Consider the following 12777-nt stretch of genomic DNA (forward strand, 5'->3'; position numbering starts at 1 on the left):
GTTAGCCAGTTAATTATTTATTGTGTGCCTACTGTGTGCCAAGCATACAGACAGACAGGCAATTATGATTCAAAGTGATAAGTGCTAAGATACAGGAAGGACATGATAAAATTAATTCTTGGCTGGATTTTTATCACATTGATTCTTTTCTAAGCACAGACATTTCTCTGACCTTATTTGCAAGGACAGGATCATAGGGCATTCATTCACCCTTAGCAACAATTAATCATGATATGGACTTTGATATCTGCCATTTAGTGACATATTGAAATTATCTAGTGGATACTAGTGTTAACTCTGGCCTTCTTCAGGAATCTGTAAAGAATTATAACTAAGAATCTACCAATATAATTCTCAATTTGTTAATACTTCTGATAAAGTTTACTGATAAAACTAAAATGTATTGGCTCTTGTCTATAAATCCAGTACCTATGTCAATTGTGAGATTATTCACATATATGATCACTATACAGAAGTTTATAGTAATGGCTGGCTTTAGTCAACCCTCAAATTATTTCAAATTATGAAACATTTAAAATATACAAAAAGCACAGAAATTTAATATAACAGACACCTACTCACCATAATTCCTAAAAGATAATAATATTTTGCTTTTTTTTGCCTTCAGCTGTGTCTCTGTCTTTTTGCCAGTTTCTTCATAACACAAATGAAATAAAACAATAAAGATACAGCCAAAGTTCCCTTTTGTATCCCTGTCTCCTATTCCTTCAAGTTTTCTTCCTTCCAGAGGAAACCAGTATCTTGAAGTTGGTAAATTGGCATTCTAAATCTCCCATATTAAATTTTTTTCTATACATGTATGAGTATGCATGCATAAATAATATATACTATTGTTTGTTTAACATCTACGCAAATCAATACAATTGTGTGTATCCTTTTGCAACTTGTTATTTTATTTTAAAGCTATGTTTCCCTGATTTTTAGATACACATAGATTCAGTTCATTCATTTTAACCGCAGAACAGCAGGCCATCATATGACTGAGCCACATGACCCTACTGAGAGGGCTTTTCCTCTTTTGTGTTCATAGCATTCACTCAACCTTATCTGTAGTTCAGGTCTCTTTTCCTCATAATATTTTTTGTTTGTCTTTCCTTTTCTTGGTAAGTCTTGCTAGAGATTTGTCCACTTTATTAGTTTTATCAAAGATAAAACTTTCTTTTATTTTTCTATTTCATGAATTCCTGTTGTACTTTTCAATGTTTATTGCTTCCGTCTTTATTTTTTGTCAATTTTATGGAAATATAATTTATATACAATAAAATTCACCAATTTTAAGTGTATAATTCAATGACTTTTGGCAAATGTATACAGTAGTATGATCACCGATACCATCAAGATACAGAACATTTCTAGCAGCTCAGAAAGTTCGCTTATGCCTTTTTGCAGTTAATTCCCTCCTTTCTCTCCCTGAGCCCTGGCAACTACAAATCTGCTTTCTGTTATTATAGCTTTGCTTTTTCTGAGACTTCATATAAACATAAATGAACAGTATTTTGTCTTTTGTGTATGGTTGCTTCAATTAGGATAATGCTTTTGAGTTATATCCATGTTGTTACATGTATCTGTAGTTTGGGTTTTTTTTTTTTTTTAAGTGCTAAGTAGTATTCCATTGTCAAAGTTGACTATTCTGTTCCATGAATCTATTTGTCTCTACATAAATCACTATGTTGATTGTGTGGCTTTTGAGGATGTCTTGAAATATGGTAGGGCAAATCTGAACAATTTCGTTCTTTAAAAAAGGCCGATTGTAGCCGGGCGTGGTGGCTCATGCCTGTAATCCCAGCACTTTGGGAAGCCGAGGGGGATGGATCACGAGGTCAGAAGTTCTAAGACCAGCTTGGCCAAGATGGTGAAACCCTGTCTCTGCTAAAAACTACAAAAATTAGCTGGTGCAGTGGCAGGCACCTGTCATCCCAGCTACTCGGGAGTCGGAGGCAGAAGAATCGCTTGAACCCGGGCAGCCGAGGTTGCAGTGAGAGATCACGCCACTGCACTCCAGCCTGGGTGACAGAGTGAGACTCAGTCTCAAAAAAAAAAGAAAAAAAAAAGTGCCGATTGTGATTTTGATTGGGATTGTGTTAATTCTGCAGATCAATTTTGGGAGAACTGACATCTTAACAGCATTAAGCTATCAGATCCATAGCACTGACTATGTCATCATCTATTTAGGTCTTTAAACATTTCCCTTAGAAACATTTTATAATTTTCAGTGTACAGGTATTGTATATATTTTCTCTAAGTATTTCATTTTTTTTTCTTTCTTTCTTTTCTTGAGATGGAGTCTTGCTCTGTCACCCAGGTTGGAGTGCAGTGGCATGATCTCGGCTCACTGCAACCTCCTCTCCTCAGTTCAAGACATTCTCCTGCCTCAGCCTCCTGAGTAGCTGGGTGAGTGCCACCACGCCAGTTAATTTTTGTATTTTTAGCAGAGATAGGATTTCATCATGTTGGCCAGGCTGGTCTCAAACTCCTGACCACAAACGATCTGACCACCTTGGCCTCCCAAAGTGCTGGAATTACAGGCGTGAGGCACCACGCCTGGCCTGTATTTATGATGATATTATAGATAATTTTTAAAATTTGTGTTTCCAGTTGTTCAATGCTAACATGTATTGTTTGTCCAGTTGTTCGATGCTAACATGTAGAACTGATTTTTAAAATGTTGATTTTGTATCTTATTACCTGCTAAACTTGCTTAAAAATTCTAATAGTTCTGTGAATTCCTTAGGATTTTCTACATACAGGACCAAGTCATCTGTGAATAAAGGCAGCAGTACTTTTCCAATCTAGATGCATTTATTTGTTTTCCTTGATCTATTACACTGGTTAGAACCTTCAGTACAGTGATGAATAAAAGTGGTAAGAGTGAATATTTCTGCCTTGTTTTCTGATCTTATGAGGAAAACATTCAGGCTTTTAAGTGTGATATTAGCTATAGGAGTTTTTAAGTCAAGGTGAAATTCCCTTCTAGGTAGTTCCTAGGTAGTTTGGAGTTTACATCATGAAAGGAAGATGAAGACTGTCAAATGGAGTTTCTGCCTTTATTAAGATGATTATATAACTTTCCTGTTCTTATTTCCTAAATTGATGACATATATTGACAGATTTTTAAATGTTAAGCCAACCTGCATTCCTAAATGTCACATGACATTTTCTTTCTATATTTCTGGACTTGCTAATATTCTGTTAAGGAATTTTATGTTCATGTTTGTGAAGGGTACTGGTTTGTAAGTTTCCTTTCCTTTTACGGCTTTGCCTAGTTTTGGTATCAGGGTAAGGTTTGCCTCATAAAACAAGTTGTGAAGATCTTTCTTTTCTATTTTTTGAAAGATTTTGCAAAGGATTGGTATGATTTCTTACTTAAATGTTTGGTATCATCCACCAGTGCAAACATCCGGGCTTAGAATGTCCTTTGTCCTTCACTCATGTCAGGTGAATGAGTAAGGAACAAAGCCAACCCCACAGTATATAAGTATTCCTTTTTCTCCACAACCTTGCCAGTATCTGTTATTTTTTGACTTTTTAATAATAGCTATTCTGACTGATATGAGATGGTATCTCATTATGGTTTTGATTTGCATTTCTCTAATGATCAATGATGTTAAGCATTTTTCTCACGTGCTTGTTGGCCACATTGTTGTCTTTTTTTTTTTTTTTTGACGGTGTCTCGCTCTGTCGCCCAGGCTGGAGTGCAGTGGTGTGATCTCAGCTCACTGCAAGCTCTGCCTTCCAGTTTCATGCCATTCTCCTGCCTCAGCTGGGACTGCAGGTGCCCGCCACCACGCCTGGCTAATTTTTTGTATTTTTAGTAGAGGCGGGGTTTCACCGTGTTAGCCAGGATGGTTTCGATCTGACCTCGTGATCCGCCTGCCTTGGCCTCCCAAAGTGCTGGGATTACAGGCGTGAGTCACCGCGCCTGGTGGGCCACATGTATGTCTTCTTTTGACAAGCATCTGTTCATGTCCTTTGCCTACTTTTAATGGGGTTGCTTTTTTTTTTTAAATTTGTTTAAGTCCCTTGTAGATGCTAAATATTAGACCTTTGTTGGATGCATAGTTTGCAAAAATTTTCTCCCATTCTGTTGGTTGTCTGTTTACTCAGTTGATGGTTTCTTTGGCTGTGCAGAAGTTCTTTAGTTTAATTAGATCCTATTTGTCAATTTTTGCTTTTGTTGCAATTGCTTTTGGCATCTTTGTCATGAAATCTTTGCCCATGCCTATGTCCTGAATGGTATTGCCTAAGTTGTCTTGCAGGGTTTTTTCAATAAGCCAGATTTTGGGTTCTTTTATTTTTCACTATTGTTTCTTTTCTATTTTATTTATTTTTTGCTTTGATTTTTATTATTTTTCTTTATTCTTATCAATGTTTAATTTACTCTCAAAGTGTTTTAATGTAAAAGTTTATAACATTATTATGAGAGCACTTAATAATATAAATTTCCCTCAAAGCACTACTTTCTATATATTGCATGAATTTTTATACACTGCCTTTTAATTTCCATTTAGTTCAATATATTTTCTATTTCCCTTGTGATTTCTTCTTTTACCCTTAGTTATTTAGAAGTGTATGTTTAATTTTCAAATACTTTGAGTTTCTCTAGATATCTGTTTGTTACTGATTTCTAATTTAACTATTGTGTTCATAGCACATACTTTGTATGACTTGAATTCTTTTACATCTATATGGACTGGTTTTATGGTTAAGAATATGATTTATTTTGGCACATGTTTTGTGTGCAATTATAAAGATTGTTAGGTGGGATTTTTATTAAATGTCGATTTCAAGTTAATTGAAAATATTGGTCAAGTCTTTATACCTTTACTGATTTTCTTTTTACTTGGTCTACATTTAAAATCTTTAACTATAATTGTGAAATTTTCCATTTCTCTTTTCAGTTTTAACACTTTTTTGCTTCAGATGTTTAGGATCTGTTATTATTTGCATATACATAGAAGACTATTATGTCTTCTTAATGAATGAAACTTATATCATTATATATTTACATTGTTTCACTCTGGTAATATTCCTTGCACTGAAATCTGGTTCATTTGATATTACTATGACCACTGAAAGTTTCTTTGGATTGTATGGGCATGGAATTTATTTTTCTCTCATTTTATTTCTAACCTGTCTATGTATTTATATTTAAAGTGGGTTTCTTTTGGACAACATACAATAGATTCTTGCTTTTTAATCCAATCTGACAAACTGTGTCTTTAACTGGACTATTTATACCACTTATATTTAATGTGATTAATATTATTAATATGGTTAGGTTTTTATCTACCATCTGCTATTTGTTTCTTATGTTCTACATCTTTTCCCTCTTCCCCATTTTCTTGCCTTCTTTTGGTTAAGCTGATTTTTTTTATAATTTCATTTTTATCTCCAGTCTTGGATATATATTAGATTTTTCTCTAGGGTTTACAATTACATTATGAACAATTTACAGTTGGACACTTAATCAAAATGTACCACTTTCCATAGAGTGTAAGAATTTTAAAGCAGTATACTTTCATTTTCCTCTTCTATCCTTTGGCTCTTGCTATTGTAAAACTTACCGCTAATACAGTATACATTCAACAAACTTTTGGTTTGGTTTTAAACAATTACTTCTTAAAGGTTTTTTTAATGAGAAAAATATTTAATGGTTATTTTACATATTAATAATTTTCAAATGTCTTCTTTCTTTGTGTATATCCACATTTCCATTTGGCGTCATTTAATTTCTGCCTGAAGAACTACCCTTAGTATTTCTTGTAGTGGGAAAAAATTAAAATTCTTTCTGGATGATGAATTTTCTCAGCATTTGTCTGTCTATGAAAGTCTTTATTTAGCTATCATTTTTGAAAGACAGATATTTTTTGCTTTGTATGGAACTCTTGGTTGCCAGTTTTTTCTTTCAGTGTTTTAAAGATGTCACAGCATTGTCTTAAAGTCTGTCTGGTTTCTGATGAGAAGTTGCTTTCATTCTTTCCTTTGTTCCGCTGTACATGTAACACTCCACCCCCGATTCTGGCTTCTTTTAAGGTTTTATCTTTATCATTGTTTTTCACCAATTTGATTGTGATGTGTCTTGGTGTAATTTTCTTCATGTGTCCTGCTTAGATTTCAATGAGATTTCCGGATCTGAAGTTTTATAGTTTTCATCAAGTTTTTAAAGTTTCAGACATTATTTCTTCAAATGCTTTTGTTTCCTTCATCTTTGACATTGTCCTGCAGCTCACCAATATTCCTTCCTGTTTGTTTTCCCATTGTTTTCACTCTTTCATTTTGGATAGTTTTTCTTGCTATGCCCTCAAAGTAAATTAATCTTTGGTTCTGCAGTGTCTAATATGCTAATTATTTTTAGAATATTTTTCATTTCATATCCTGTATTTTCACTCCTAAAATTCAAGTTGAGTCTTACTTATATCTTCCTTGTGTTCATGTTTTTCTCTGTCTTCTTAAAGTGTGGAGTTGATTTTGCTGTTCTAACATTCTTATTTGTTAAATTTATAATCTCTGCCATTTCTGGGATTGGTTGATTGATTTTTGCCCCCTCTGGCTGTGGGTTGTATTTTCCTGCCTGCTTACCTAACTGGTGATTTGCCATTGGATTCTGGTCACTGATGGTTGCTGGATTTTATCTCTTTAGATATTTTTGGGCTTTATTCTGAGATTCAGTTAAGTTAGTTGAAATGAATTAAATAGTTTTTAAGGCTTGTTTTTAAGTGTTAGGTAAATCCAAAGCAGATTTAGTCTAGGGTTAATTTGCTCCCATTACTGGGGAAATACCTTTTTGAGGATTCTGTTTGATGCTCCCAGTATTAGGAAGTCTTTCTTTCTTGTTGGTTTGAGCATGGACTACGCCTAATGAGAAGTGAGCTGTGAGCATTGTTGCACCTGTTCCTTTCTAATGGTTCTTTCTTTGGTGTTAGGTAACTTCCTTGCATGCTTGTATAGATCTGCACTCATGCAAAGACATAGAGGGGAACCCTACTGCAGATCTCTGGTGCTGTCTGTGTGTATCTCCTGACCTCCTAAAACTTTGAATTCTGTCTTCTCAAGTCAGGAAGGCTGCTGGACTCTGTTTTGTTTTCTCCCTTGCACTGTAGTCTGGAAATTCTCTTCAGGCAGTGACCTGGGGCAATCATAAGGCTTACCTTATTTGTTTCCCTTCTCTTTGGGATTACTGTCCAGCACTGCCTGTTTTTTGATGTCTAAAAACCATTGTTTCATATTTTATCTGCTTTTCAAGTTATTTAAGATGTTAGGATAAATCCCATTCCTATTTGTCTATCACGGTTGAAAGTGAAATTCTCCCTACAATTTTTTTTTTTTTTTCAGTTTTCCTTGTTCTTTATCTGGCTTCTTGAGTTGAAAACTTAACTCATTTAATATAAATGTATGCATTTTTTTAAAAAAGTGTAATTAAAAGCATGTTAAATGTTACGAAGGCTAGGAATTAAGCACTGCATTCACTGTTCCACAATTCTACATGTGTTGGTATGTTGCACTTTCAATTCAGTTTGAAATCGTTTAAAGTTTCCATTGTGACTTCGTTTCATGAGTTACGTTCCATGAGTTACTTAGGGATGTAGTTTTAGTTTCAAAATACTTTAAAAAATCCCTTTTATTATTTCTAATTTGGTAAGTTCAGATAATGTGCTGTGTGAAACTATTTTTTTTCAAATTGTTGAAACTTTCATGAGCAAGTATTTCATTGCTTTTTATATTGTCCCATATATATTTGAAAAGAATGCATATTCTATGTTAGGTGCAGTATTCCATTTATATATCTAATGGACCACATTTTGTCAAACTTACTACAACCATACCAATTATTTTACCATTTAGATGTATCAATTTCTTTTATTTATTTATTTATTTATTTATTTTGAGATGGAGTTTTGCTTTCTGCCCAGGCTGGAATGCAGTGGCACAATCTCAGCTCACTGCGACCTCTGCCTCCCAGGTTCAAGTGATTCTCGTGCCTCAGCCTCCTGAGTAGCTATAATTACAGGCACCCGCCACCACGCCTGGGTAATTTTTGTATTTTTAGTAGAGACAGAGTTTTGTCATGTTGCCCAGGTTGGTTTGAACTCCTGACCTCAGGTGATCTGCCCACCTCGGCCTCCCAAAGTGCTGGGATTATAGGCATGAGTCACCATGCCTGGCCTTTTGGATGTATCAATTTCTGATAAAGGTATGTTAAATTTTTTTTACCATGATCTGATTTGTCAATTTCTTTATGTAGTTTTCAGATTTTGCTTTCTGCTTAGAAGTTTTATTATTATGTTTTTGTGCTATATTAAGTTTCTGGTGCAATATGAGATAATAAACAACTCCAGAATCTCAGTGGCTTCCAAAAAGCATTTATTTCTTGCTGAAAGCTCTGTAGGTCAGCTGGGGTGGCTGTGCTTCAGGCTGCTGGGTAGGGTTAGGTTTATTCCATATTCTGTTAACTCCAGGACCAGTGACTGCTCAGGGCCTTTTCTTCTTAAGAGGGGAATTTATTAGAGAGGAAGCCACACCACAAAAGCATGTTTAAAGCTTCTGGTATATGTTACTTCTGTTTACACTCCATTGGCTGAGATAAATCACATGGTTAAGCTCAACATCATTAGGGCTGGCAAATTAACCCTGTCCCAAGGGTGGCACTGCAAAGTTATATGGTAAAGGGGATGAATATATAATTCTCTTACATGGGGAGAGTAAAGAATTGGAAGCAATAATCTAATAAGCCACCAAAATTATATATTAATAATTTTGATATCTTCTTGGTGTATTAATTTATTCAACAAATATTTTCAGGATAACTACCACGTATAAGGCACTGCCCCAGGTAGATAGGAAATACTAGTGAACAAAAAAGCCAAAGATCCTCCCCTAGGGGAGCTTATATTTTTCCAGGCAAAACACATACTAAAAAAATAAACACAATAAGTAAATTATAATATTATAGGTGCTATGGAACAAAGAAAATGCAAAACAGATGAAGGGTGCTTGGGAACTGCAGGAGCAGAAGACAGGTTGTGGTTTTAATATGGTGGTCAGAGAAAGGACTGTTCCATTATCATCTGTTTTTTTTTTTTTTTCCGGCTGATATTAACATGGCTAAACCCACTTTACCTCCATTAGAATTTGCATGGTGTAGAAGATTAACTTTAAAAACATCTCTAATTCTTTATTCTTCCCTGTATCTACACATTTTGCAAATCACCTGCAGATTTTTACCATTAAGTATAGGAGTTTGTTTCCCTGTTCCTTGAATCTGGGCTGGTCTTGTGATAGAATAGAATTTTCTGGAATGATGATGTGCCAGTTCTGAGCCTGTCCCTCAAAAGGACTGTGTACTTACTCCTGCTGTCTCTTGGAACCTGGCTACTGCCATATGTACAAGCCCACGCTAGCCTGCTGTATGATGAGAGAAATGTGAGGAAGAGCTGAACCAGCTAGCCACACCCCCAAATACATGAGAGAGCAAAGCTAATCCATTGATAACCCATCAGATGACCCCATCTAACCTATAGATTTGGGAATCACATAAATGCTTACTTTTTATGTGGTTGTTTGTTATACAGGATTATTGTGGTAATAGATAATGGATACATATGGTATATACTTTTTATCCCTTCATTTTCAATCTTTGCATATGGTGCTTTCTCAGTGTATATTTTGCAAGTCACATATAGCTGAATTTTAATTTTTTTTTGCCTACAGGGTTTGTAACTTTACATTTTAAATAAACTTAATTATACTTGTCTTTTTTTATAATGCCCAGAGTTAATAATACATAGCTTCATCACATCAAATAAGATAATTCTTGTAAGAGACTTTAACTTCATGCTTATCTGTGCTCCTGTTCCTCTAAAGTATGTTGACATCACCAAGAGTTTTAGTTCTAGATAATGATTCAATTTGTTTAAATAGTGTTCCAGTTTTCTGAGGAATACACAATTATATGTTATTTCACAGATGTGTCACCAGCAATTATTTAAAATTATGCCAATTGCTTAATTCTAAAAGACTCTTTTCCTTCACATTTTAACACTTCTGATATCAGGAGGCATCTCAAAATTAGTGGGTACACTATATAGTTAACCCCATGCTAAATTTATATAGTATTTCTCCTTGATTTATATCATTTTCACATTCCTCTATGTCCTTTGTCTCTGCCTGGTCAAGTCCTCATCCTTAAAGGCTTAATTCATTGTTTCCTCCTCCAGAAAGCTATCCCTAACCTTCTGGTTCCCATCTCTGTGCCTTTAATATCAATCATGTTTTGTTACAAAATCTGTTTGAGCGTCTGCATTCCTCACCAGGGAGAACTTCTTAAGGGAGGTTCCAACTATTGTCCACTTTATATTCCCCTTGGATCTTACGTATTTCTAGAGGCATACATGATTAATATATGTGTGTTAAAAGTATAAATTAAACAACGAATTGAAAGGTAGCTTACAAGAACTGTGAGGGGTCTGAGATTTTACTCTGCTGCAAGCTAACAAGTCAGCTTGCCACAATGTCAGGGATGCTGACAGAAGATAGAAGACCTCCTGAGTTAGAGTCAAAAACGATTACTCACAGCAAAAGCAGTAGCCGGAGTGCAAACTTGGTTGCATTGGTTTCTGGAGCACCAGTTCTGCAGGGCAGCTTAGGTGGTCCTAGACCTATGCTTGCACAAACATGGGTTGTGTCATGGGAGACGAATGTGGAACCTAGAAAATGTACCACTGACAGCAGCTGTGGTCTGAAAGGAGAGCTTACAGCATCTCTCAACATTGCTCACTGGAAATAGCCATGAGAAACGTTCTAGATAAAGAGTGGTCAGGGCCTTCCATCCTTGGCATAACCCACCAAGACATCTAGGCATTTAAGAGGCCCATGGAGTAGTGTTTCTCAATAGTAAAGAAAGCAGTTAGATGCAGATGGTGTTTTTTACTGTTATGATAACAAAACAATAAAAAACAGACATAAGAACATTTGTTACTTCCTCAGGCCACTGAGCATGGGGTTAACAGTTCCTTCCTTGGCCTCCATTGTACCATAATGGAAACTCACAATGAAGACCTTGAACTATCCAGTAAAAGTTAAAACATTTTTTTTTTTGAGACGGAGTCTTGCTCTGTTGCCCAGGCTGGAGTGCAGTGGAGCGATCTCAGCTCACTGCAACCTCCGCCTCCCGGGTTCAAGTTATTCTCCTGCCTCAGCCTCCCGAGTAGCTGGGACTACAGGCATGCACCACCATGCCAAGCTAATTTTTGTACTTTTAGTACAGACGGGGTTTCACCATGTTGGCCAGGATGGTCTTGATCTCTTGACCTCGTGATCTGCCCGTCTCGGCCTCCCAAAATGCTGGGATTACAGGTGTGAGCATTTAAGAAGACAGGATGTGTATAAAATATAATCAGTTTCACAGAAATTCTAGCTGAAATGCTTAAAATAAAAGTTTGGTTTTTAAAGAAGTAAGGTTCAGAAATATAGAATGTTAAGGTATATAGACCTAGTCAATCTTTGATAATGGTAGATAAAAATATTCAAAATTCTTCTTGTGAGATTTAAGGTAATGATACGTGGCCAAAGTTGATGTGTATTCATATTACTAAAAACTTTTTTTTTCACACTGTTGTCAGATGCTTATGTATATCTTTTTGGCTACTCATTGTTATATTTCAAATACATAAAATGTAGATTTTATTCAATTTACATTGATACTTTTAGAAGACTTTGAGAATAGGATGTAAGGGACTTGCTTTTCTGTTTCATCATTAATAATGTGACCCATGACTGGATGACATTAATAAATGATGTTCCATACTAAAGGCAATTCTTGATAAGAGACATTATATTGCTCTAGTACACATGAACCATGAACCAATAATTTCCAATTTCCAAAAGAATTCTTCTCCACAAAGACCACAATGAATTTCAAGTGAGATTTAGGATCTGATTTAAATGAACTTAGAAAAACATTTACTTGTATTTTGTCTTATTTCTCGTTTCCCAACTACTCTCTAAATCATAGAATTCATAGGAAATATTAACTGCTTTTTAATTTCTCCTTGGGAAATTCACCAATTTTATACGTTCTGAACTAGGAATTTAACTAGCTCCTATACATTTACAGAAAGAAATTGACTGCCACATATTTGTGACTATTGTTAGAAAAAGGTGAACACTTTATCCTCGCTACTGAGTTGGGAATATATCTAGATGACATTTATGATTGTTTCCTAAATCAAACAAGATATTTGGGGAAGCTCTACTTGCAAAACATATTAAATGGCAAAGAAGCTTTGGTTAGAAGTGAGGAGGAGGGCTATAAGGAAGAAACAGATAGGAGTAGAAAATAAAAGGGCCAGAATAAATAAAAGAAGTCTATTTTGTAGGCTTGGGGAAGGGAGTGCTGAAGCTAAGGGTGGAGCAATGGCATGCAGAAGAAACTGGGGACTTCCAGGGACAAAGGGGAGGCTGGAGGAGAGGAGTGAGGAGGGGCCGGCGAGGTGGCTCCCGCCTGTAATCCCAACACTTTGGGAGGCTGAGGCAGGAGGATCACCTGAAATCAGGAGTTTGAGACCAGCCTGACCAATATGGTGAAACCTTGTCTCTACTAAAAATACAAAAATTAGCCAGGTGTGGTGGCAGGCACCTGTAATACCAGCTATTGAGAAGGCTGAAACACGAGAGTCTCTTGGACCCGGGAGGCGGAGGTTGTAGTCAGCCTAGATCGCTACACTGCAGTCCAGCCTGGGCAACAAAGAGCAAAACTCT

Source organism: Homo sapiens, chromosome 2 (assembly GCF_000001405.40).
Source record: "Homo sapiens chromosome 2, GRCh38.p14 Primary Assembly".
Classification (NCBI taxonomy): Eukaryota; Metazoa; Chordata; class Mammalia; order Primates; family Hominidae; genus Homo; species Homo sapiens.